Source organism: Homo sapiens, chromosome 1, assembly GCF_000001405.40.
Source record: "Homo sapiens chromosome 1, GRCh38.p14 Primary Assembly".
Classification (NCBI taxonomy): domain Eukaryota; kingdom Metazoa; phylum Chordata; class Mammalia; order Primates; family Hominidae; genus Homo; species Homo sapiens.
The window spans coordinates 92,558,307-92,585,535 of NC_000001.11; the positions used below are offsets into that span (position 1 = coordinate 92,558,307).

Genomic DNA, 27,229 nt, shown 5'->3' on the forward strand with positions numbered 1-27,229 from the left:
TAGCCCTGACCTCTCTTCAGAATTTCAGACTCATATCCACTGCCTATCTGATATCTTCATTTGCAGTAAGGAATCTCAACCTTACTACAAATCTTAGCATAAAAATAGAGCTCTTGTTTACCTTTCTCTATGCTGGTCAATGGCACCAACCAATCATTCACTCAATTACTCAAGCCAAAACTCTCTGGAGCCAATGAATGTTTTTTGTTATGAGATAAACATACTTCTAACACAGCCGCATTACATTTCCACTTCTTCCATCCTTCTAAGCCATGTTTGATCTTATCTGGACCATTGTAACAGACTCCTGATGAATTTCCCTGTTCTCACTCTTTCTCTTCTACAATCAGTTCACTGTACAGCAGGCAGAGCAAATGAAATTATAAAATTTTCTGTATGAAACCATCCAAAGAAGGCAGGCATGGTGGTGCAGCCCTGTAGTCCCAGCTACTCAGGAAGTTAAGGTGGAAGGATCACTTGAGCCCAGGAGTCAGAGGCCAGCCTGAGCAACATAGTGAGACCCCCATCTCTAAAAAAAAAAAAAAAGGGCAAAACAAAACAAAACAAAAAAACCCAAACAACACCAACCAAAAAAACCCCTAACAACAACAACAAACATCCAAAGGCTTTCCACTATACACCGTGGTTTACAAAGCACTATACAGTTGTCCCTCAGTATCTGTGGGAGAATGGGTCCAGGATGTCCCAAGGATACTAAAACCCATGGATGCACAAGTCCCTTATATCAAATGGCATATTTGCATATAACCTATGCCTGACTTCCTGTATACTTCAAATCATCTCTAGATAACTTATAATACCTAATACAATGTTAATGCAATATAAACTGTTATACTGTATTGTTTAGGGAATAATGATAAGGAATAAAATTTGTAGATGTTCAGTACAGATACAGATGCAATAGTCTTTAAAAAATATTTTTGATCCACGATTGGTTGAATCCACTGATGCAAAATCCACGGATACAGAGGACCAATTGCAATCTGACCTCACTTGCCTCTCTAATTTTATCTTATACCATTTTTCCTACCCTTCACTATACTCCAGCCACACTAGCATTGTTTCTCAAAATAACCATTTCATTTTCTTCTAGGGTCTTTGGGCTAGTTGTTTCTTCTGTCTGGAATACTCTTTCCACTGATTTTCACACATTAAGAGGATTCTGGCTGGGCATGGTGGCTCATGCCTGTAATCCCAGCACTTTGGGAGGCTGAGGCAGGCGGATCACAAGGTTAGGAGTTCGAGACCAGCCTGGTCAACATGGTGAAACTCCGTCTCTACTAAAAAAATGCAAAAATTAGCCAGGCATGGTGGTGTGTGCCTGTAACCCTAGCTACTCGGGAGGCTGAGGCAGGAGAATTGCTTGAACCCGGGAGGCAGAGGTTGCAGTGAGCCAAGATCGCGCCAGTGCACTCCAGCCTGGGAGACAGAGCAAGACTCCCTCTCAAAAAAAAAAAAAAAAAAAAAAAAAGCTTCTTGGCATTCCCATGCAACTTATATGTGACCTCATCTGCAAAACCTTTCACAAACATCATTTTTTCATTAGAAACATTTTCACATAGTACCTACTACATGCCATCATTGTTCTATATACTGGGGGAAAAGTACTCAATCTCATTAATAATCAGGGAAATGCACATTAAAACCATAATGAGAAATCTCTTCATAGTCACAGAATGGCTAAAATAAGAAAGACTGACAATTCCACATGTTGATGAGGATGTAGAACAGTAAGAACTTTCTTCACTGCTTATAGACAGTATAAACTGGCATAAATCACTTAAAGCAATGTTCTTAACAGACCAACTGGAAATAATCCAAATGTTCACCAACACAGTAGATGAATAAATCATGGTATATTTATGCAAAGGAAAATTACACAGTGATGAAAATGAACAACCTACAGCTACATTTTAAAATGACAAAGTAAAATCTCACAAACAATGTTGAGCAAAACAAGCAAGACACAAAAGAAAACATACTGCAAGAATCCATTTATATAAAGTTCAAAAAGTTAAACTACTGTATTAGAAGTCTGAGATCATGGTTACCTTTGAGTAGAAGGGAGAGAGTACGGGTTGAAAGAGTATGAACAGGGCTCTTGGGTCTATTTCTTGGACCTAGGTAGTACCTACATGAGTGTGATCATTTTGTGATAATTTATTGAGCTGTAAACTTTTGACTTGGACACGTCTCTGTATGCTATGCTGCTATACAAAACTTTTTTTTCTTTTTTTTTTGAGACAGGGTCTTGCTTTGACACCCAGGCTGGAGTGCAGTGGTGATCACGTTTCAGTGATCACGGTTCACTGCAGCCTTGACCTCCTGGGTTCAAGTGATCCTCCTGCCTCGGCCACTGGAGTGGCTGGGGCCACAGGTGCATGCCACCAGGCCTGGCATTTATTATTATTATTTTTAATAGAGATGGGGTCTCCCTATATTGCTCGGGCTGGTCTCGAACTCCTGGGCTAAAGTGACCCTCCAACCTCGGTCTCCCAAAGTGCTGGGATTACAGGCATGAGCCATTGCACCCAGCCTACAAAAGCTTTTTTTTTTTTTTAAAGCTTCTGTTCTTTATCTAACTTTCATGATTATGAAGCCATTCAAATGTTAAGGATAATAACCAGGGAACTCACTAGGTCTCCTTTGTGAGGAAGCAGTGGAGAACTTGTTATTTAATCTTAGTATCAGGAATAGATGTGGCTCTTCTAGCTAATTGGTCTGTTTTCATCACATAGACACTCTGAAATGTTTAAGTGACCAGGTTTTCTTTTGCGTTGGCTGCTAAAAGCCTTAGAGCCAAATCTGAGGCCCACTTACAGGAAAGAGATATTTTTATGGTAAGCATTTTTATAATGGTCTTATTCATGCTTCCATATTATATTTCTACAGTTTTTTTCTTTCCTTTTTCTCCCAAAATTGTAGTTTATTATTTTGTAGCAGTTGCAAATTTCCTTAATTCTATCTGCAACAAGGAAGGGTATTAATAAATAAAAATGCTTTAAAGGTTTTTTTTCCTTTCTTTTCAAAAAGATGCAGTTTGGTTTCCACTCTTTAAATCTGCACAATCTAGCTTTTAATTTTAACAGTAGAAAATTCTACTCTGTTGATTAATTTTCTTTTCATGTTTGTATAAGGTAAGACTGCTTTCTTAGGCCACACGTAAAAAACTGACATTAAAGTTAAACTTCATGTGAGTTATTTTCTGGCAGTCCTGATGAGACTGACTATCTATCTATCTATCTATCTATCTATCTATCTATCTATCTATCTAATCTATCCTATCTATCTATCTATCTATCTATCTATCTATCTATCTATCTATCTATCTATCTATCAGAGTCTCACTCTGCTGCCTGGAGTGCAGTGGCATGATCTCAGCTCACTGCAACCTCCGCCTCACAGGTTCAAGCGATTCTCCTGCCCCAGCCTCCCCAGTAGCTAGGTTACAGGCACACACCACCATGCCTGGCTAATTTTTGTATTTTTAGTAGAGATAGGGGTTTCACCATGTTGGATGGGCTGGTCTCAAACTCCTGACCTCAAGTGATCTGCCTGCTTCAGCCTCCCAAAGTGCTGGGATTATAGGCGTGCGCCCACACCTGGTCAGAATATCATTATTTTTAGTCAAAGCATATGACAGGGAAAGTTAATGTTTGTTGACTGACTTTTACATTAGTTTTAGAAATAAAGTCAATCTATACGTAACTTTCTTGTTTCAGCAACATTAAAGCTTCCTTATAATGAGACATCAAAATTTTAAATGGGAGGTTGCTTTATTTTAATCACAATTTCCTCTGAGAACACCTTTTGAACATAAATAATTCCTGGGGTTCTCAAAAGAATAAAGATTTCTACAACACACTTAATTGTAACTTGTTCTTTCACACTATGGCTATCGATTTAAAAATATTATAATAGGCCAGGTGCAGTGGCTCATGCCTGTAATCCCAGCACTTTGGGAGGCTGAGACGGGCGGATCATGAGGTCAGGAGATCAGGACCATCCTGGCTAACACAGTGAAACCCCGTCTCTACTAAAAAAATACAAAAAATTAGCCAGCCTGGTGGCGGGCGCCTGTAGTCCCAGCTACTCAGAAGGCTGAGGCAGAAGAATGGCATGAACCTGGGAGGCGGAGCTTGCAGTGAGCAGAGATTGCACCACTGCACTCCAGCCTGGCCGACAGAGCGAGACTCCGTCTAAAAAAAAAAATTATAATAAATACACACAAATAGGTAAAGATTATATGTAAGATCCTGAATCCCTCATATGTTATCATGGCTGAAAATTGATATTTACAGGAATGATTCCCCAAATTTCAAAACAAATTAAACTGAGCCACATCTAAGATTTACTGTTTTTGTTTATGTTTTGTTTCTTCTTCATTTAGAATTAACTCTTAGACTGACTACCTCCAGGAGGTATTACCCAAAACATACAGACTTTAACTGAAGGGTGTAATACCAGGAAAGGGTAACGTCTAAACTTTTTCCTGTGAGGTTTAAATTCATCTAGTGGTCAAAATTTCTCTTTCTTCTTCTTTTTAAACAAATAAAGGTTATACTACCCTCTCAAATCTCATCACTGTGAATAAACATTATTTTATAAATAATTCAAAACAAGAAAGATGGTATTCCATTAGTGTTTAGCCAAATATTATCATTAAAACAGAAAATAATAAAGGATAAGAAAATTGACCTCGAGCCACATTAACATATCTCTCTAATCAAAACATACTAAATACTTTAAATTACTCAGTATAGTACTTGGTAAAACTGAAAATTTTGTGAGTTGAATCTCACAGATTCAAGGTAGTACCAGTTTAAAAAGCATTCAGATACTAAGAAATCTGTTAACTGATATTAGGCAAGTATCCTTTTTTGCAATCTCAGTAATACCATCATGAGCGGTAAAAGAAGACAAGAGTAAAAAGACTTCCTTCTGCATGCAACGGTAAATACCACAAATCTATTCTATAGGTATAAGCAAAATTTTAGTTTAGTTAAAGTAACTTTGACATCTATGCAAACTATCAAGAGTTTTTACACCACAATAAAAAAATAAAATATTTGCCATGAAAATATTAATTTATCATTCTAGGTCATGCTAATGAGGTTAAGGGAAATAAATCCCCAATATTAGAACAGAAGATCCTTGCTAAAAAGACAATTTTCAAAAATGTTATTAATTATAACCAATAATTCACAGAAGATATTCAGCATGAAAGTGTCAGTCTTATAACCAGTAATAAAGTGTTGTTACAATACAGAGGAAGGAAGAAAGCAATATGTGAAGATCAAAATTTATCACTTACCTCATGATTCAGCTCTGCTATCTGATCTTTCAGTTCCCCAATATACTGGTTAGAATCAGACTTGTTAAGCTGTCCTTGAAGCTTTCCTTCTTCTTTCTGTTTTGTGACAAAACAACAAAGCAAAAACAAGAGGCAATTTTTCACAGCATGTACTCAAATAGTTCAAGGTATAGGAAAAGCATAGGCACATACCCTTTAATCACCTGAATTCTGAACAAATCCATTCTCAAACTACCTCTGACAAACAATTCATAATGAACTATGCTTTAATTAATTAATTAATTTATTTATTTAGAAACAGAGTTTCGTTCTTGTTGCCCAGGCTGGATGGAGTGCAACGGTGCCATCTCGGCTCACCGCAACCTCTGCCTCCCGGGTTCAAGCAATTCTCTTGCCTCAGCCTCTAGAGTAGCTGGGATTAACAGGCATGTGCCACCACGCCTGGCTAATTTTGTATTTTTAGTAGACACAGGGTTTCTCCATGCTGGTCAGGCTGGTCTCAAACTTCTGACCTCAGGTGTGATTATTTCTTTAAAAATGCTTAATAAAGGTTGTTTATAATAAATATAATTTATAAAATATATCTTTTGAAAGAGTCTCAGAAATCAGTAATTGAATGGATCTACTGATGAAAAAATTACCCTAGAATTTCAAAGTAATTTATCTAGTTATTTTGAGGGCAGATGATTTTCTATTCATACCGTAAGGGATTCAATACTTAGTCAAGAAGATGGCAAGCTTCCCATATTCTTTCATTCTTGGGAATCTGCTTTTGCTTGGGGAACAGAAAAGGGGGGAAAAAAAAGAAAAAGTTGTCCAAATCACTCTAAAAAGGGGAGGACAACTTTGAGTCTCCTCTGGTTAATTAGCTCTCGATGTGGACTGGAAGTCCCAGATACAGCTGATTAAAAGCTGCTTCTGATCCTAAGAGTTTGTTTCAGGTGAGCACTGGGACTATTTTCTAGGGATATAGATTGGTGAAGAGAGGCACTTTTTCTTATACCACCTGAAAACGAACATAAATTATTTTTCAGATAAAGATTTTTTTTTTTTTTTTTGAGATGGACTCTCGCTGTCACCCAGGCTGGAGTGCAATGGCGCGATTTCGGCTCATTGCAACCTCTGCCACCTGGGTTCAAGCAATTCTCCTGCCTCAGCCTCCTGAGTAGCTGGGATTACAGGTGCCCAGCACTGCGCCTGGCTAATTTTTGTATTTTTAGTAGAGACAGGGTTTTGCCATGTTGGCCAGGCTGGTTTCGAACCCCTGACCTCAGGTGATCCGCCCACCTTGGCCTCCCAAAGTGCTGAGATTACAGCGTGAGCCACCATGCCTGGCCTAGATAAAGAACTTATTAAACAGTGAAACTAGAATTGTTTTTGATGTCTCCAGATTATTTATAATTAGGAAGCCATGTGTTGATGCTTAAAATGTTAAGCAGCTCTGATCCGGAGCCATCTACTGAAACTACTGAGTAACTCCTGATACCAAAAGAGTATGGGCTTACTTTTAACAGTTGCCAATCACCCAGTTTCCTTTCATGGAGACAACAATTGTTAACAGTTTTTTGGTGTAGTCTTTCCACGATATTTTACACATATATAATCAAACACACATGAATACATGCACACGTTTATCCATACTACAGACACTATGTATGCTACTCTGTACTTTGCTATTATCTCTCAATAATACAACTTGAAGATCATTCAATATCAGTACATATGGAGCAGAAAGATACACATTCTAACTTTAGAGAGCTTTGAAATTCCTGTAAAAGTTACCTTAGTAATATCCAAGTATTTACAGGTTTTTTTAAAAGCAGGTTTAAAACGTGTCTTACAATTACCTTGAGAGAAATGGGTTGCTGTGAAAAGCATTTGTCAATGTGGAGATTCCTCCCATATTTAAAATCACAGTCAGAAGGGACCTTGAACATCCTCTGACTTAGTCCTCTGACTGGTCAACTCTACCCTCCAACTTCATCCTACATACTGTATACTAACATCATTGGCAGGAAGTACCAAATAGAACTGTTCTAGCAACAGGCCAGGCGCGGTGGCTCATGCCTGTAATCCCAGCACTTCAGGAGGCCGAGGCAGGTGGATCACCTGAGGTCAGGAATTCAAGACCAGCCTGGCCAACATGGTGAAACCCTGTCTCTACTAAAAATACAAACGATTAGCCGGGTGTGGTAGTGTGTGCCTGTAATCCCAGCTACTCAGGAGGCTGAGGCAGGAGAATCGCTTGAACCTGGGAGGCGCAGGTTGCAGTGAGCTGAGATTGCGCCACTGCATTCCAGCCCGAGCAAAAAAAAAAAAAAAAAAAAGAAATGTTCTAGCGACAGAGTGGGTAGCACTCCTATAGGGTCAAGCATCTTTCCAACAACACTGCTGTTCTGTGTTAACTGTCCTCCCTACCCAAATTGTATCTCTAACTACCCTTAGTTTGTTCTTCAACTCCTTTCATCGACTTATTCCTAAAAACTCCCTGTTTTTTGTTTGTTTTGCTTTGTTCTCTTTCTTTTGACAATCTGTCTTAAAAACCTTTTACTAGAATATGGCCTGCTGAAGTGGTTTAGTGTAATTAATATTTGCATAGATATAAAAGCCCAACTACAGCTTCTATAGACTTAAAAATTTTTTCTTATGCAGTCATGTTCCACATAATGATGTTTTGGTCAATGACGGAATGAATACATGATGATGGTCCCATAAGATTATAATAAGAAATTCGTAATGCCTAGTGACATTGTAGTTGTACAATGTCATAGTAAAACACATTACTCGTGTTTGTGGTGGTGCTGGTGTAAAGAAATCTACTGTGCTGCCAGTTGTATAAATGTATGGCATATACAATTATGCACAGTGGATAATAATTGACAATAATAAATGACTATGTTACAGATTTATGTATTTAACATACTATATTTTTTATTATTTTAGTGTATTCTTTTTATTTATACAAGAAAAATTAACTGTAAGCTTCAGCCTGGTCCTACAAGAGATATTCCAGAAGAAAGCATTGTTCTCATAGGAGATGACAGCTCCATGTGTAATACTATTGCCCCTGAAGATCTTCCAGTGGGACAAGATGTAGAGGTAGAAGACAGTGATCCTGATGATCTTGACCCTATGTAAGCAGAGAATAATGTGTGTGCCTGCTTTTTTTTTTTTTTTTTTTTTTTTGAGGCAGAGTGCCCCTCTGTCCAGGCTGGGGTGCAATGGCACAATCTCGGCTCACTGCAACCTCCACCTCCCAAGTTCAAGCGATTCTCGTGCCTCAGCCTTCTGAGTAGCTGGGACTACAGACGCACACCACCATGCCTAGCTAATTTTTATATTTTTATTAGAGACGGGGTTTCACCACATTGGCCAGTCTGGTCTTGAACTCCTGGCCTCAAGTGTTCCGCCCACCCGCCTTGGCCTCCCAAAGTGCTGGGATTTACAGGCGTGAGCCACCACGCTCGGCCATGTGCCTAAGTTTTTAATAAAAAAGTTTAAAGAGTTAAAAAAACAGCTTATAGAATAAAGACACAGAGAAAGAAGATATTTTTGTACAGCCATACAATATATTTAAACTAAGTGTTATTATAAGAGTCAAAAAGTTAAAAAAAATTAAGTTTATAAAGTGAAAAAGTTACACTAAGCTAAGGTTAATTTATTATTGAAGAAAAAGAAAATAAATTTACAGTATAGATTAACTGTACTGTGTTTATAAAGTCTACAGTAGTGTGCAGTAATGTAGGCCATTCACTCACTGACTCACCCAAAGCAACTTTCAGTCCTGCAAGCTCCATTCATGGTACCATGCTCTATACAGGTGTACCATTTTAAATCTTTTATATCATATTTTTACTGTACCTCTTCTATGTTTAGATACACAACTTCTGACCATTGTGTTACAACCGCCTACAGTATTCAGTAGAGTAACATGTTGTATAGGTTTGTAGCCTAGGAGAAATAGGCTATACCATATAGCCTAGGTGAGTAGTAGGCTATACCATCTGGGTTTGTGTAAGCACACTCTATGATTCACACACTGATGACATTGCCTAAGTATGAATTTCTCAGAACATATTCTAGTTAAGCAATGCATAACTGCATATTTACACATACTAATATCAGATACAGTTATCTAAGCCAAAACTGTCTTATTTAACAATTACTATATTCCAAATATGCTAGGCTTCTAAAATATATACAAAATACACCTTATGCTTTTTAGCCACAAGCCCATATTTAGGAAAAATATATATTATTCTTTTGAAAATTTGGTTAGAAATATTAGTTTGACCCAACTGCCAGAGAAAAGGCTGAACTAACAGAATAACTAACAGAGATACTAAGTCAGAGTCCTAATCAAATAATCTCTGAGGCCTTCCCTGTTTTCTCATTTACATGGAACAATAAAGTCTCTTTATTATTTAAACCAGTTTAAAAATAAATTTCTGGCTGGGCGTGGTGGCTTATGACTGTATTCCTAGCACTTTCAGAGGCCAAGGTGGAAGACTGCTTGAGCCCACGAGTTCAAAACCAGCCTGGGCAACATGGCAAGACCCTGTCTCTACAAAAACATTAAAAAAAATTAGCTGGGCATGGTGATGGGCACCTGTGGTCCCAGCTACCAGGGAGGGTAAGGCGGGCGGATTGCTTGAGTCTGTGAGGTTGAAGCTGCAGTGAGTTGTGTTCATGTCGCTACACTCCAGCCTGGGAGACAGCAAAAACCTATCTTAAAAAAAAAAAAAAAGGAAAAAAGAAAAAGAAAAAAATACAGATTTTTGCCACTTGCAACCAAAATAATAATAGCTATTATATATTGAACAGGTACAACACTTATGAGCCCTTCTCATTTGAGATTCCCAAAGGATTAAGCCCTAACGTCTAAAGCATCATTGTATGTGTATGATTTCATGCCTGTGCATCTAGAGTACTACCAGGTACCATCCTTGGAAGAACTGAGAAAATACAGTTGACCCATAACATGGCTTTGAACTGTGCAGGTCCACAAATATGTGGACTTTCGTCTGCCTCTGCCACCCTGAGACAGCAAGACAACCCCTTCTCTTCCTCCTCCTCCTCAGCCTAATCAATGTGAAGATAAGAATGAAGACTGTCGCCATGATCCACTTCCATTTAATGAATAATATATTTTCTCTTCCTTATGATTTTCTTAATAACATTTTCTTTTTTCTAGCTTATTTTAAGAATACAGTCTATGATGCATGTAACATACGAAATGTGTTCATCAACTGTTTATGTTATCAATAAGGCTTCTAGTCAAAAGTAAGCTCTTAGTAGTTAAGTTTTGGGGGAGTCAAAAGTTATACATAGATTTTCCACTGTGCAGGGATCAGCACCCTTAATCCCTGTGTTGTTCAGGAGTCAATGTAGTTTACTCAAACCATTTTCTGTAGAGTTTAATTCTCTTGTGGAGCTCTGGTGGAGAAATACTGGCACTTATAATGTGCCAGGAGTTTTCTAAGCTGCTTATGTGTAATCATCACAATGATCCTGTGTGACAGGTAATATTATTATTCCTACTTCATAGATGAGGAAACGTAAATGAAAGATTGAGTGAACTGGTTGCCTAAGAGTCATACAGATGGTCAATACATTTTTCACCTTAATTTATAGCATTCTGAACATGAGAAACAATTAAGCAGATAGAGATTTATGCAAAGAATCAAGCAAATTTTCTTTCTTGGATTTGTTACAAAAGTCTATGTATTTACTTTAATATTTATTTTAGCCTCTGATAATTTAAATGGGAACTACAATATATAAAGAATTGAAGATGAAATGCTACAGCTACTTGCATTAACGGCACTAAGCTAATGACTCATATTAAACACACAAGCTGTCCAATACCATTTACATGCGCTTATGTCTGCCTCTTGTTTTTAATCACCCATTTTTAAAATGAAATATTTTGGGCCAGGCGCGGTGGCTCATGCCTGAAATCCCAGCACTTTGGGAGGCCGAGGCAGGCGGATCACGAGGTCAAGAGATCGAGACCATCCTGGCCAACATGGTGAAACGCTGTCTCTACTAAAAATACAAAAACTAGCCAGGCATGGTGGCAGGCGCCTGTAATCCCAGCTACTCAGGAGGTTGACGCAGGAGAATCGCTTGAACCCGGGAGGTGGAGGTTGCAGTGAGCCGAGATTGCGCCACTGCACTCCAGCCTGGCGATGGAGGGAGACTCCATCTCAAAAAAAAAAAAAAAAAAAAAAAAAGAAATATTTCAAAGGCACAGAATAAGAACAAAAGAGTAATATAAGAAAGATAAACTCACCATTAAAATTCAGTCTGTTTCATAACTATCTCACCCTAAGATTTTCCTTGGCTCTGGACTTACTCCATTGTCAGTTCTGTCTGTATACCCTCAAAGTGGAAAAGGATGACATCAAACAGAGAATAAGAGAGTGAGTGAAACAGGAAGAATGTAGAAATAAGGGGAAAAAAAACACGAGGAAGAATGCTCATTCATATAAAAGAAACAAAATCATTATTCTCATAGGAGGTATTCTCCAAATCCCATATGTGACATAAGAAGTGTCTGAGTAAGCATGTCAGTAAACTGATATACTTCCAAGGGGGACTAATTTGATAAGAATCACCCATTTGGATACATATGCTCAGCTGTCCTTTTAGGTGTTTTTTTTTTTTTTTGGCGGGAGCGAGGGCAGGGGGGGCCTAATTTTGGTATGAGGTCATACTCACTCCCTTGGTTGGTTAGATGAAAAGTGAAATCCACTACTAGGAAGAAACCCGTCTGGATGAGATAGAAAGGTTAGATGTTTGCAATATGGAATCCAACTTGGAGAAAAGTATCTTTGAATCTCGTCCTTAATAAAGGTAAAGTTCTTGAGGATTTTGGACATCTCATAGCAATAATATGTGGGATAATATAATATTTTCAGGGCAAATAAGATGACAAAGGCCAAGGTAACCTCTAACATTGTAAGAGAGAAGTTCAAGAATGCAGAAAGACTTTAGGTTTGAAAGGCTGTAGAATGACTAGTAACAATAATTAACACCAATTCTTTCCTCCAGAGAAACTTGCAATGAAAAAAAATTCTGGTAAAACAAAAATCATTAAAGTTGTTATACAAAAGCTACCAAGTGACTCCAAAGATGTTTTTTCCAAAGGTGGGTCTTAGTAGGGTCTAGCTAAAAACTTTGTAATAGCACTTTGATTTCTTTGGAGGAAAGATAGCATTTGATGAAAAACAGTGAAGCTAAGAAATTTTACAACAATAAAGATGGATAAAACAGGGAAGCTAAGAAACTTTATGATAAAACAGATGGAATATTTTTAACTTTAAAAGTGTTTCTTGAACTTCTATTCACTGTGGAAAAAAGAATTTCAAAAAGGAAAACTATATTTTTTATTAAATCCAATTATATAGTTGTCTTATTTAGATTTAAATAAAATTTAATAAAGCTTAATGTTGGGTTTCTTCCGCAAAACTTTTACAAACAAAAAGTTGGACTATAATGACCATTAAGTCATTGCTTCTGTGGTGAGGCACACATACATAAACACATGCACACACACTCAGAAAACAACTTCTAAGGCACACTAGATAAACTGAGGAAAGAGAAAGGGTGATTAAGCAGCTCCAGGCTATGGCAGTAACCCCTGGGCAAGAAAATTACTATCTCAGCTTATTTGTCACACATTAGTGGCACACCAGTGTGACGGACCAGTTAGAAAGCTCTGAATGGGATATTCTGATTCAACAGTCTGCCTTAAGGAAATATAGCTGACATTCCAAAAACAGAAGTAAAAAGTGAGATGTCCTAAATGCTATTTAATAAATTAAAATGTATCAATAACCATTTATCAAAAGTCTGTGATTTTTATGTTCTACATTTTATGCTCTCATTTAAACTTGTTAATTCAAAGCCTTTTAGGATCCTCTTTAAAAGTTAAAACAGGGTAACTATATTTACAATACCAAAAGACATAGCAATGAATTACTATATTCTAAGTGGGTATCAATTTAATTTTAGTTCTGGGACAGTTCATTCAATTATCTAATGTTTACAATTTTTTCCTAAGTATTTTTATAACTTTCTATTTTCAAACAGTGTCCACATGGTTGTTTCTGATAAGCAGGTGGGAAAATGTCAACTACACTAATAAATTTACCAGAAACCTGCATTTTCTTGAGGTTTTCTTTTGGTCTAGCTGATAACAACAGATTGCCAGTTAACTGGTTTCCTAAGTAAAACTAATTAGGTAAGTAACAAACTTAAAGAAAAAGACGCCCAACATATCAACAACTTTGGTATTCCGTACTTTCACTGAAGAGACCTTAAATACATACGTTTTGTCATATACCACAAATGAAACTTTATAAAGAGGGCATAACATAACATGTGTAAAAGGTGTAAATGCATATTTCACTCTTGGTTCTATCTTTGAATAATTCTTTCAGAAATTACCATTACAACGTCCATACAAATCTGATTCATATTAAGGCCTTAAGCCAAGAGAGCTTTGTATGTATGAGGTTCTTAATCAAATGGTCATCAATAACTCAATTAATGATATGCATATTTAAGTGTTTAGGGGTAAAGTATAACAAAGTAACTTTGAAGTGCATTAAAAAATAAGATCCCTACAATGGAAGATGAACAGCTGATAAAGCAACAGAAAAAGAAAATATACCAAAATATTAATAGAGTGGAGATAGTGGGTTTATAGGTGTTCACTGTACAATTCTTTCAAATTCTATGTTTGAAATTTTTCACAGTAAAATACTGGGAGGAAAAGTTATTGATGAAAAACAATTCATCCCCTCTTTCCTCCTATCATCTGCTAAAAAGTAAACACTGGTCTACACTGCACTTCATTTACATATATGAAAAGATATAAGTCCCCCAAAGATTACTTTAGAGTAGGCTCCGTTAGTTTATCCCTTTAATATTTTACAGTAGGTTTTGTGATTATTACTTCAAGATCTATATGCTCTCCCCCATTATGTAGTGGTGATAGGATTGGAATGATACCACCCTAACTCCATGGGTAGGATCTGACTGGTCAAGTCTAAACCAAACAGGATAACCATATCTGTTTTGTACAGTGATGGGTTCGGGGGTGTTCAAATAGTGTGACTCACAACTTTTGCTGGTAATTATAGAGTACAGCTTCTTATTCTGGACACTATGATATATGAATATAAAGCTCATCTGTTAGCCATTTTAATATAATGAGGAAAACCTCCTGAGGATAGAAATGACAAAAACAGCAGAGCCTTCAGAATCATGATTAGTTGCAAGTTGGAGCCCAAATCAAACTTTTTCTGAAGCATATTCTACTTCTAGACTTTTTAGCTATATAAGCCAATAAATCCCCTTTATTACTTAAGCCAGTTTGAACTGGATATTCTATTATCTGCAACAAAAACATACTACCTAATAAATATTTTTTAAATGGCTAAGGAAATGAATATAGTAATATGAACAACATACCCTAGAAAATATTTAAAACAGTGATCCCCAAAGATAATTAGAGAAGTATCACTTTAGGAGTTTTACAAACATACAGATTAAGGAAACTCACCCCGACCTCCTAATTCTAAATATCTAGGAACAGGACTTGAAAATAAGTGTATTTTGAAAGCTACACAAAGAGTGATTCTGACACAGCCAGTGACCTACATTTGAAGTGTACTGGTTTGAATAACCTTTGAAAATTAACTATTTTTTAAAACATAAATTCAAAATTCTATGTATATGCTAATAATAAATGCTTTTATCCTATTTCCTGAGGATCTCAAATATTATTTTATAAGTTTAATCTCATTACAGATTTTTAGTATAGGTTTACATATAACAAAGAGATAAATATTTCCTTTAACTACCCCCACCATGGTAAATGTGGCCATGACCAAGGCTCACACACTTATTTACAAATGGTCTCCACATTTCCAGAGTGAATATATCTAAAAACAAAAATAGAGGAAAACTGTCAAGGGTCCTTAAATTAATTTCTTTCAATTCTGCTATCAGTTTCACTTCACATTATTTCCATGTTAGTTTTCAGCTGGTCAGTTCCCTGTCTACAGAGGTTGGTTCAATTTTGAACTCAAATCCCCTTCTTGGTTAACCCAGCTCTCAAGCAGAAAATATTATTTTAAAGTTTAGTAACATATGATGATGAACTAAATAAAATATTTAGGATCTGAGAAAATTCCACATATATGACTTCCATCACTGAAAACTAAGATAATCATTCTAAGGAACAAAGAAAACCCAAACATTTGGGGACCAGCAAAATAATTCTTTTAGCACTCAAAAGTGTTGTATCTGTAAAGAGACCATGGCAATAAATATGGAAACAATGAATCTTATTTTCTAACCTATATATTATATAGGTAATAGTAAAAAGCTGTGTTTTCTAATATAACACATAAGAGTATGTAGAAGAATATTGTACCAAGAGCAGTAATTCTGGTGTTTGATTACCTGGATTGTTTGATAACGACCTACGCACACACATTCACTTGTTTTATCCCTGCAATCATGGAGAGCTGTAATTAGAGAAAGGATGAAGACAAGATGGAATGTGCCCAGGATGTGTCACATATTCTGTTTGTTGAAAAATCAGTAAATGCTGCAATCCACAGGAAAATAAAAAGTGAATATGTATTTGTGCAATGTGTATATGGCCACAGTAGAAAGTGGGCATTTTATTCAGAGGTGTCTTCACCTGTATCAGCTGCACTACAACATACCACTTAAAAAGTTGAACAATTAAATGTGATGGTGCATCAACCTAAGAGATTGAAGAGAAAATGAGAAAGGTTTTCTCTACAGTTCTAAGTAGCATGGTTTTAACATGTTATAGTGCAGCAAAACTGAGACGAATAGAATGTCAAGTTGCTTTGAGCAAGTGTTTGGGATAAAGGTGGGGTTTAGTAGTGTATAATATTGAAAAACACTGGGGAGGTAAGAGAAAGAAAAGAAGTGGATCTCAAGCATGTTTAAATCCATACATTTAGTCAGGCTCATTTTTAAAGAGAAGTTGTAAAGGGTATCCTTAAGAGTCCATTCTTGTTTTTTAATCTGTTTGTGCTTGTTTTTCTATAAACAGAGTGGGGGAACATTTTAAAACATACAATAAACTGTTTATAAATAAATCTATACATAATTTATAAGGTCCTAAAAATGAATTTTTAAAAATCTGTGTTTTTAACATTGGTTATAACTTACCCTATCTTGGAAACTTTCTTAGGTAGGAAGACAGCAGATTTTAAAAGCTATGTTTCGAGCCATAGGTTTTAAAATACACTACACAATTGGACAGGTTGCTTACAAGTTGTGATTTTATTTTTTGAGCATTTAATCAGTTAACACCTAGTTAGTGTATCAGATGCATAACTGAAGTAGTAGAAAGTGCCCCAGACTAGGAGGCAAATATAAAAGCATCGAGTCCATTATTTTACAACTTACAAAATTTTCCCCTAGTTTTCAAACTTTTCAAATCTATAGAAGAGCAGAAATAATAGTACAATGACACCCATATACCCTTCAGCTATATTCACCAATTACCATTTTGCTACGTGGGCTTTCGTTCTTTTGCTCTCTATGTGTACATATGTGTGCACACACACAGATTTTTTTCCTGAACCACTGGAATGTAAATTGCAGGTGTCATGACATTTTACTACCGTATATTTCATCATGCATCCTCTAAGAATAAAGAACTGCCCTATGTAACCAAATGTCATCATAACACTTAAATTTACAGTAAGTCCATAATATCACTGAAGATAGTTTTTTTTCAGATTTCCCCAAAATGACTCAAAATATTTTATAACTGCCCATAATCAAACCAAGGTTCATGGTTACATTTTGTTATTATATCCCTTTAGCCTCTTTTAATCTACAAGAGTCCCTGTGCCTTTTTTTTTTTTTTTTTTTTTTTTTTCTGAGACAGAGTCTCACCCTGTTGCATAGTCTAGAGTGCAGTGGCATGATCCTGGTTAACTGCAATCTCTGCTTCCTGGGTTCAAGCGATTCTCATGCCTCCCGAGTAGCTGGAAGTACAGGCATGCACCAGCACACTTGGTTAATTTTTGTATTTTTAGCAGAGACAGGGTTTCACCATGTTGGCCGGGCTGGTCTCAAATTCCTGACCTCAAGTGATCCACTCACTTCAGCCTCCCAAAGTGCTGGGATTACAGGCATAATCCCAGCCACCTTGCCTGACCTTATGCATTTTAGAATTTTTATCATATTGTTAATTTTTTGGAAGAGTCCAAGTCTGTAGATTGTATATTATCTAAGCTGAAACAGAAACATTTTCCATTCCAACATTATTCCAAATAAAATACTGTTTTTATTCCTTGTTCCCAAACCAAATAGGCAGCAGAGTAAACTAATACAATGCATATTTAAGGGTTGGGTAAATCAAAGGATTAAGTATAGAAGACATGGGCACTAAAACTTAAATATCTGAAGTGAAGGACTCAGAAAACATAGGAACAGTGCTAAAAGACACTGGTAAATATGTATGACATGTATTCTACCTTAGAGTCATATGTATGATATTATGTATACATGTCCTACACATATGTATGTCATGTGTACATATGTATATTAGTTAACATACATATTTTGTATATGTACATTAAAAGTTAAACATAATATTGGCAGTTACAATTTTTAAATTTTTTTGCCTTATGTTAAACACAAGTATTGGTAGTTATAATTTTTAAATTTTTTGCCTCTTATTAAGAGACTAACCTATAGATTTAACCTTTCAGTGCTATGAAGTCCAAAGAATTCTCTCCATATTTAACATGACTTTATTTTTAAATTTTTACTAAAATATAAGTAAAATTATTAAGAAGAATATTGATAAAATGTATCAAGAGAGATAGCTAACAGGGGTAGAGTAAAAAGGTCAAATACAAAATACTGGTAGGCAAGTAACTGAATAATTTTTAGAGCAGCATTCCTACTAGAATGTCTGGTACAGAAGTGGCTTTTGAATGGCTGATTTTTACATACAAATTTACCTGTAGTTTAAGACATCTGACAGACTGCTAGCCCACTGATTCTGGTTCCTAGTTCTGTCTATATCGCTGGGCAAATACAAGAGTGATATGTATTCTCCCAGTTAAAAATAAGAATCTGAGCCCTTTGATACAACTCTTAATGGCTGAGCCTCTTGTCAATCTTACATTTTCATTGTCATCTTTGGTAGTTCAATGATAACCACTGGAATATTCACTGGAATAACATGGGGAGCATTTAAAACTTGTCAGAAACCTGGAATTCCCTTTGTAGCTTTGGGGCTAGGATTGCCAGTAATGTCCAAAGCATGAAAATAAGTGCTGAGTGCCACAAAAGGACATGAAAAAAACCTTGTAAGATACTTAAGACTTCAGAATATACTGAGAAAATGGCATTATCTCTATAACAGGGTGAGAGAACTCTAGGCCATACTCTTGCCAAGTCCAAATCAGCCTCTATACATGTTAGTCTACCAGTTCAGCAGAAGGGCCCCAATATAATTCCCTTTAAGGAACAAAGGCTTCCCTTTTCACCCCATGAAGCTTCTCCTGTTCTGTCAGGCATAGGCAGACTTAGGCTTGCTCATCTTCCCCAGGATCCTGCCCATTTCTCCTCCTCCCTTAATTTTCACTTCAGAATATGCTGGTCTGATTTGAAATATAAATTTAAGGGATTAGCTCACACCACTTGTAGGGACTGGCAGCCTGGAAGTTTTTGTACGGCTTGCCGGCAGGGCAGAAGTCCAGGAAATCCAGGTCAGACTTGATGCTGCAGGGTAGCATCAGTAGGGCGGGCCAGCAGGCTGTCTTGAGGAAAGCTGGTTAGTGAATGCTTCATAAGTTTTCATCTGAACCAAAGCCGGTTCCTAAGATGCCTTCTTCAAACTGTTGGGATCACTTTAAATACACAACAAAGCCTTTCAGCCTGTTCTATCATTTGTCTCTTTGCAAAAAATATTTTATAGAGTAGGTGGATGACTTTAAATTCTGGGAAAGCATAGGGTTAGTCACAAAGAAACCTCTAACAAAGGGAGGATCTGCCATAAAAGGAAAGCATCAAATATCCACTCATTAAGCTTCATTTTGCTCATGAGACATTGCTCACACAGCTGGAAAATTCTGTAGCTGAAGAAAATGTGATTCATCTTCTAGACAGATATTTTAATATCTTCATATTCCACGGCATGGGATTATCTCAGTGAAAGTTTTAGACCCATTTTTGCTTTCTGGCTTTGTTGTTGTTTTTTTGTTTGTTTTGGATACCATAAACTCTAAACAGATGCTTTTGTTTAGTGCAAGGTAGCTTTTGTCTTTTCCCTGTAAGGAAAGGCGCTATGGTGCTATATTTCATTTACTAGTGATAAACACTGTCATGCTAGATTAAGTTAAGATTCTGACAAGTCTTTTGGGTGGTGGTGCACTGCATACCATGACTTTTAAAGAATTAGTTTGAAAAGCCCTTTCTGGATCCATGTGAACGCTATTTCATCTTTCTGTCATTCTACTAATCCACATTGTTATTTCTCTAGATGCTCTTCTCCCAGCTTGATGACTATTATGGTCTAGAACTATTACCCCCATATGGTGGATTCTTGTCACCATTTCTTTCTTTTAGCAAAACTAAAGTGTGGAGAAATTCTGGAATGAAAAATTAATACTAAATCCTCTTTTTTTTGGCATGGCCTCTTTACCTGTGTGTATCCTCATAGGTGGCTTGAACTGAACATAGCCTGGGCCTGGCCCCAAAAGCACTAGAGATTTAAAATGGACGGCCGGGCGCCTGTAATCTCAGCACTATGGGAGGCTGAGGCGGGCGGATTACGAGGTCAGGAGATCGAGACCATCCTGGCTAACACGGTGAAACCCCGTATCTACTAAACAAAATACAAAAAATTAGCTGGGCGTGGTGGCGGGTGCCTGTAGTCCCAGCTACTCGGGAGGCTGAGGCAGGAGAATGGCGTGAACCCGGAAGGCAGAGCTTCCAGTGAGCTGAGATCGCGCCACTGCACTCCAGCCTGGGAGACAGAGCAAGACTCTGTCTAAAAAAAAAAAAAAAAGAAAAGAAAATGGACTCAGTGGTTAAGTAACTTATCAAGGACCACATGACTAGCCAGGAAAAAGCAAGGAGTAGAAGCCAGGTTTCACTCTTAGTCCCATTCTCTTTATATCATTATAAATGGCTCCAATATAAACCATGGTTTTGTTTGTTTGTTTTTAAATAGAGACCAAGTCTTGCTACATTGCCCAGGTTGGTCTCAAACTCTTGGGCTCAAGTGATCCTCCTGCCTCAGTCTCGCAAAGTGCTGGTATTACAGGTGTGAGTCATCATACCCAGCCTAAACCTAAAATCAGGATTTTGATTTGAGACAGATCATAGCAGGACATGTGCTAGAATTGTTTTTCTAAAAATGCAGTACTTATTTTATGTTATTCATGTATCTTTTCTTGAGCCCTCTGTAAAGAGTGATATCAAGTCAAAGTTGGGAAGCAAAGCTGTCAAAGTTTCTCGTGTATCTTCTGTAGCATTGGATGATCAGATGGCTCCTAAATATTCATCTTATTAATAAACCATTCCCTTCCCTAGTCTGTCTGAATGGCCTATGAAGAGTTTATTTTGCCAAAAAATATTTAAATCAACTGATCAGACTATTAGTGTATTCAAATTTAATAAGAGAGCCAATGGAAGGAGGCCAGTGTGGAAAACCAGATTATAATTACTTACGAATCCCTTCTCATATGAAGTCAAGGGAGACCAAGGTACAAAAAATAAAACAAAGATAAATCAAAGACAGCCTATAAAAAATATCAATGGTATTTTATATATTTCACGGAAATAATATACTATAAAATTAATTTCCTTTTTCAGCAATTTTAATGTGATGGTTTGGTTTTACTGTGACTAATACAGTTATTAATAGCCATTTTTCCCCTCTGTATACATTTCTCCATTACTATTTATTACTTTTAGCTTATAAATGGGAGTTCACCTTTTGTATAGAAAGATCTAAATGTTTGAGGGGAAAAAACTAGAAAAAATAGTTTTAACTAAAAAACAAAAGAAAGATATGAGCTCTCAAACTCCTGGGTTCAAGTGATCCACCCGTCTTGGCCTCCCAAAGTGCTGAGATTACAGGTGTGAGCCCCCGTGCCCAACCTAAATTATTTAACTTAAACGGTCGCTTGTGATTAATAAACAAAGTAGAAATGTATTATAGTTTGTACTATCTATTTTACAAATGATAATACTGAATCTTCAAGCTTCTCTTTAACCTTTCATTGTGAATAAACAATGACTCAGGGAGAAGGAACATTTAGAATAATAATCATATATGTATTATTAAAGTAGAAACAATGAAACCTTCAGAATGACAATGTATTTTTGTTGGAATTTTGTATCTATCATTATCGCTATACACTTATCTGATCAAGCTAAAGAAAACCCATGAGGCTAATGCTTGAACAAGAATGGCATTTAAAATTAATTTATATGTAAACATTTTTTTCAGCAAAATTCTAGAAGTTTGTCCATTTTAGAGTCATTCTTTCCTGTTTAATCCAAAAATCAAATTCCACCCAGCAAGGACTGCTATTCCAATAATGTTGTAATCTTTTGCAATTGTCTGCTAGTGATCCTGATTCATATATTGCATTCATAACAACCAAAAATAAAAGAATATTTAATTAACACTAGGCATTCTAAAAGCTTCAAAGCTTAAGTAATAAATTTTAAAAACCAATCAATGATAGTTAAAGTAAGGGGTTCTCAATTTTACATATTTTGTTAAGCTTTATTGTACAGACTAAAATTTTGGTTTTGTAGGCTCAGTATTACTAAGTTGCTTATTGTATTTAGTAGTTTCTTGTATCACCTCTTGTAAGTATCCAATTCGTTCATCACCAAAGTCATTAGGTTTTTCTTCTGAGAGGGAGGTGCCAAAACATGCTTTTTCAGTTGAATTTTGTGTTTTATCTTGCTTGCCATAACATTGCTGCATACACCTTCCATTCCTGCAAATACACTGAGCCTTGTCAGAACCAACAGTCTTATGTCTCCTAAATTAGTCCTTCATGCACTGGTTGCCCAGGGCTTTGATGTCTGGGGGCAGAACCAGGTGCAGCTGCAAGATATGTCTATACAAGGCCTGGACACAGCACTCTGTGGGTGGACTACCAGCCACTTGTTCAAAGGGCTATCTTATCTTTCAATCTGTTAATTTTATTGAATTAATGTTAAGTTGTTTTACAGTGTGAAGCAACTGTAATTCTTCTTATCCTTGAATTACCTTTCTTCTTGGTTGGGATTTTTGGTTTTGTGAATGGTATTTCTTTCTGCTAAATAATAATCAATAATAATTAATAAATAATATAAACTAAATTGTTGTGCTATTTCTTTTCACCATGTTCATGGCTAGGTGATTGTCCACATATTCCAAGTACGCTAATGATATGGATGACACTAACTATCTCTCCACCATATTTGAGATCTATTTCCTTTGCCTTCCAAGCTCAAGCTTGTTCTCACTTTTCTATAGTCTCAGGAAAATGCACAGTGAAAGAAAAAACCTAGCTAAACAAGGGCTCTTCTTACTCTTCTGAGATTTTGTTAAATATCTTGTACTACCTAGTTGGGGGAATATATCACAAAACCTGAGTTTTAGGATTCAGATCATTTCCCATATTCAGTGTGTTGCCCTAGGGCCTTCACTTAAGAGTGAGGTGTCACTTTTCTGATCTCTTTCACTTGGTTATCCTTTGCAGAAGTTTCTACCACTCCTCAGTCAGAAGATTACATACTCATTTTCCTTCTCTCCACATGTGAGATATAAATGAATTCTCCTGGGATTTTGCTGACTTACACAGCCTGGAAATGGGATAGATAGTCAAGGTTAGAAGCCAAGCCCTGGCAGGCCTCTCTGCTCTACCACTGTCTGCTTCTTTTGTTAGCTGTCACTTTTTAAAGTTTATTGCATTAGGTTATGTTCCTTTTCCTCTCAGGTTTATTGGGCAAGTTTTTGCTTAAAAAAAAAAAAACTATTTACTATTTTGTTAGATAGTTGGGGTAGGTAATTCTGGGAGTTTCAAGCCATCTTTGGTGCAACATTTATTTAAATAAAGTATGTAAAGGAATCTTTACACAGAAAGTACTTAAAACCTGCTACCTGCTCTTATGGCATAGAAGGTCAATACATGACTATTTTCTCCCTCCTAAAATTCATTCAGCAACTATTTGTTGAGCACCTGTGATATGCCAGGCACCAGGCATACAGCAGTAAATAAGACAAACAAGGTTCTAATGTAGTCACGACTCGCTTAACAATGGGGATACATTCTGAGAAATGTGTTGTTAGGGGATTTCATCGTTGTGTGAACACCGTAGGGTGTATTTACACAAACTTAAATGGTAGTGCCCACTATACATTTAGACTATACAGTATAGCCTACTGTTCCTGGGCTACAAATATGTACAGCATGTTACCGTATGGAATACTGTAGGCAACTGTAACACAGTGGTTAAGTATTTGTGTGTCTAAATATTTAAACATAGAAAAGGTACAGAACACATACTGTCTCATAATCTTATGGGACCCAGATGATATATGTGGTCCATCGTTGACTGAAACATCATGGGGTGTGAGAGTTAATTTTTAAAGTAAAAATAATTTCAGGCACTGACAAGAGCCATAAAGAATATAAGACATGATAATGAGACACAGTAACAATGTGAGGGGCCTACTTTACAAAGGTGGTCAGGCAGTGACTTATATCTAGGCTGAGATTTAAATGATGAGAAGGTATCAGTCATGGGAAGATTAGGGAGCACAGAATTGCAATCATAAAAAAGAGCACAAGCAAAAGCCTTAATGTAGGAATGAAAGAGCTTGATTCAAGAAAAAAAAAGGAGGTGAGTAGTTGCTAGAACTAACTGGTGAAGGAGAATGCCATTTAAAATGGGTCAGAGAAATGGGCAGGAGCCAGACAACACTCAGGGACTTTAAGGCCAGAAAAAAAGGTGGCCCTTTTGCTTGGTAGCCCAAGTTTCCTTTGTTACTTTTTCCCTATAATTATCTGGAAGTTCTAGTTCTTATTTCCTTTCTAGCAACAGTTACTTTAAATGTCATTTAAATATACATAAAATATTATAATGATAATCATATAAATTCATAAAGAATAAAAAGTGAACTCATATCCTCTACTCTTTTGCACCAAGCCCTTTACTATCTCCTGAAGGAATATTTCAACAGTTTTGACAGGATCACTGCAGCCAATTTCAATGCATTTAAGTACATATGCATGTAACATATATACATATTAACATGCACATGTACTTAATATATATAAATACAATACATATACTCACAAATGCTTTTTAATACATACAAATGGGAATATATATTCTGCTTATAATTTGCTTTTTTCACCTAGTATGTCTTGTAGATCTTTATTCTTTCTGAAAGACGCAGAATATTCCAGAGTATAAATATACTATAGTGTAACCATTCTCCTACTGATGGGTAGTTACTATTTTTTCTAAATATTAAAAATAACCTTGGGGTCAGGCGCGGTGGCTCATGCCTGTAATCCCAGCACTCTGGGAGGCTGAGGTGGGTGGATCACTTGAGGTCAGAAGTTTTGAGACCAGCCTGGCCAACATGGTGAAACTCCATCTCTACTAAAAATACAAAAAATTAGCTGGGCATGGTGGCACGTGCCTGTAATCCCAGCTACTTGAGAGGCTGAGGCAGGAGAATCGCTTGAACCTGGGAGGCGGAGGTTGCGGTAAGCCGAGATCACGCTACTGTGCTCCAGCCTGGGCGACAGAGTGAGGCTCTGTCTCAAAAAAAAAAAAAAAAAAAAAAAAAAATTAGATTTTTCATCCACCTTCATCAGTTACATAAAGAATACAAAGAAATCTAAAATAGAAGGAAAAAATCAGAATAGGAATAAAATTTTTAAAAAGATGGCTTATTTAAATTTGCAATTATTTTCTAGTATTGTACTGGCCAATGGTATTAGAAGTATAAGCTACTGGAAGTACCAATGCCTTCTCTCTCTCTCTCTTTTTTTTTTTTTTTACATTCTTTCCAGATATCTAATATAACAAACTGAAACTTATAATTAGTTATTAAATTTTCACATATTAACTTTAGGATAGGAAACCACTACTTAATATATTTTAACATTTTACTCCTGGCTATTAACATTTACAACATGGGTTACAAATAGGTATCATACCTCTAAAGGAAGTAACAGAAACAATTAGTAATCTCTCTCTGTTCTTTTTCATAGAGATTTCAAAATAAATCTAAGGTTATGCATAGGATGTGGGTTTTTCTCCGGGAGTAGTATTACAGAAGGTTTGTGGTATTAGAAGGGTCATGACACAATGCAAGTTGCTTAGTCTCAAACACAAGCGTAAAGCTTTCATTTTAAGAATATTTTATATTATACCCACAGATGAAAAATCTAACAAAAAGAGACACGGTGGTACATAAAGATATATTCAAGTGCTCTCTCTTTCGTAAAAAATCAAACCTTTTTAGAGACAATTTAAAAAGCAATCTCTTGATTGTTTAAAAGGTTAAATAATGCTTTTTTTTTTCCAGGCTTTATTATGAAACTATGTTCAACGGTCACAGAGGCAACCACATTAACTTGCAGCATGGATACAAATTTTAAGTTCTACATTGATATTTTCAACGCACATATGAAGCAAAATGTCTTAAGCAAATTATTACTGCATATGAAATTACTATAGTAGAAGAAAACCCAATAATTTGAGTAAATCTGTAACACTTGGTAAGTAATCACTCTGATTAATCAACATCACCTTACTGAAATATCAATAGCAACCACTAGGCTTTAGTAGGTTATTACTGATTTGTACTTTGCCAAAAGAAAAATTAATCAGAATGGTAAATGTGGTAAGCGGTAGCCTCTCCATGACTTCAAGGTGACTCATTTGAAACTTCTAAAAACAAATCATACTCATATCATGTACTACTGATAAGTTTTTGAAACAGTTTCCTGTAATTTAAAGTCATGGACAAAGGTTTGAATATTCTTCTTAGTAATTAGAAAAAGTAAAAGTACACATAAATGTCTTTTAAAAACCAATAATGAAATCTGAAAAATATATAAGGGATAAAAGAAATCAAATATTTGGCTAGTATTTTTCAGTATTAAGACTGATTTAATTCCATTTCAGAAGAGAAATATACATATACACAGGACTAGCTAAAGGCACAGTTTAAAAATACCAGCCCAAGGCCGGGTGTGGTGGCTCACACCCATAATCTCAGCACTTTGGGAGGCCGAGGTGAGCAGATCACCTGAGGTCAGGTGTTCGAGACCAGTTTGGCCAACGTGGTGAAACCCCATCTCTATTGAAAATTTAAAAATTAGCCAGGTGTGGTAGCAGTCACCTGTAATCCCAGCTACTCAGGAGGCTGAGGCAGGAGAATTGCTTGAACCAGAAGGCTGAGGTTGCAGTGAGCCGAGATTGCACCATTGCACTCTAGCCTAAGAGACAGAGTGAGACTCCATCTCAAAAAAAAAAAAAAATCAGCCCAGTGCTTTGCAGGGCTGAGTCAGGATTATTTGAGGCCAGAAGCTCAAGATCAGCCTGAGCAACATAGCAAGACCCCATCTGTACAAAAAATTTAAAAATTAGCAGGGCATGGTGGGGTGTGCCTGTATTGCTAGCTACTAGGGAGGCTTAGGTAGAACTGCTTGATCCCAGGAGTTCAAAGCTGTAGTACGCTGTGATTGCACCACTGAACTCTGTCCTGGGCAACAGAGCAAGACACTCTCCCTCTCTTAAAACAAGTCAGCATTCACACAAGGTCTAAAAGGTAGAAAA

At 36.5% G+C, this 27,229-nt stretch overlaps 1 protein-coding gene and 1 pseudogene across 27 annotated transcripts in view, besides 1 other annotated feature; both read right to left on the reverse strand.

Moving 5' to 3' along the window:
• EVI5 (ecotropic viral integration site 5) overlaps window positions 1-27,229 on the reverse strand; it is a 283,715-nt gene that overhangs the window by 49,611 nt on the left and 206,875 nt on the right. For all 27 annotated transcript variants that reach the window (NM_005665.6, NM_001308248.2, NM_001377212.1 and 24 more), the window contains one exon: window positions 5,336-5,431. In NM_005665.6, coding sequence (NP_005656.4) covers window positions 5,336-5,431 — 96 coding nt within the window. The remainder of the gene's footprint in view (window positions 1-5,335; window positions 5,432-27,229) is intronic.
• Window positions 16,657-26,311, reverse strand: LOC107985727 (succinate dehydrogenase assembly factor 3, mitochondrial-like; annotated as a pseudogene).
• Window positions 26,163-26,312: a silencer, noted in NCBI's record as "silent region_1076". NCBI's record gives its function as "represses an Ori minimal core promoter by ATAC-STARR-seq in GM12878 lymphoblastoid cells {active_cell/tissue: GM12878}" and the evidence as "EXISTENCE:reporter gene assay evidence [ECO:0000049][PMID:35858748]".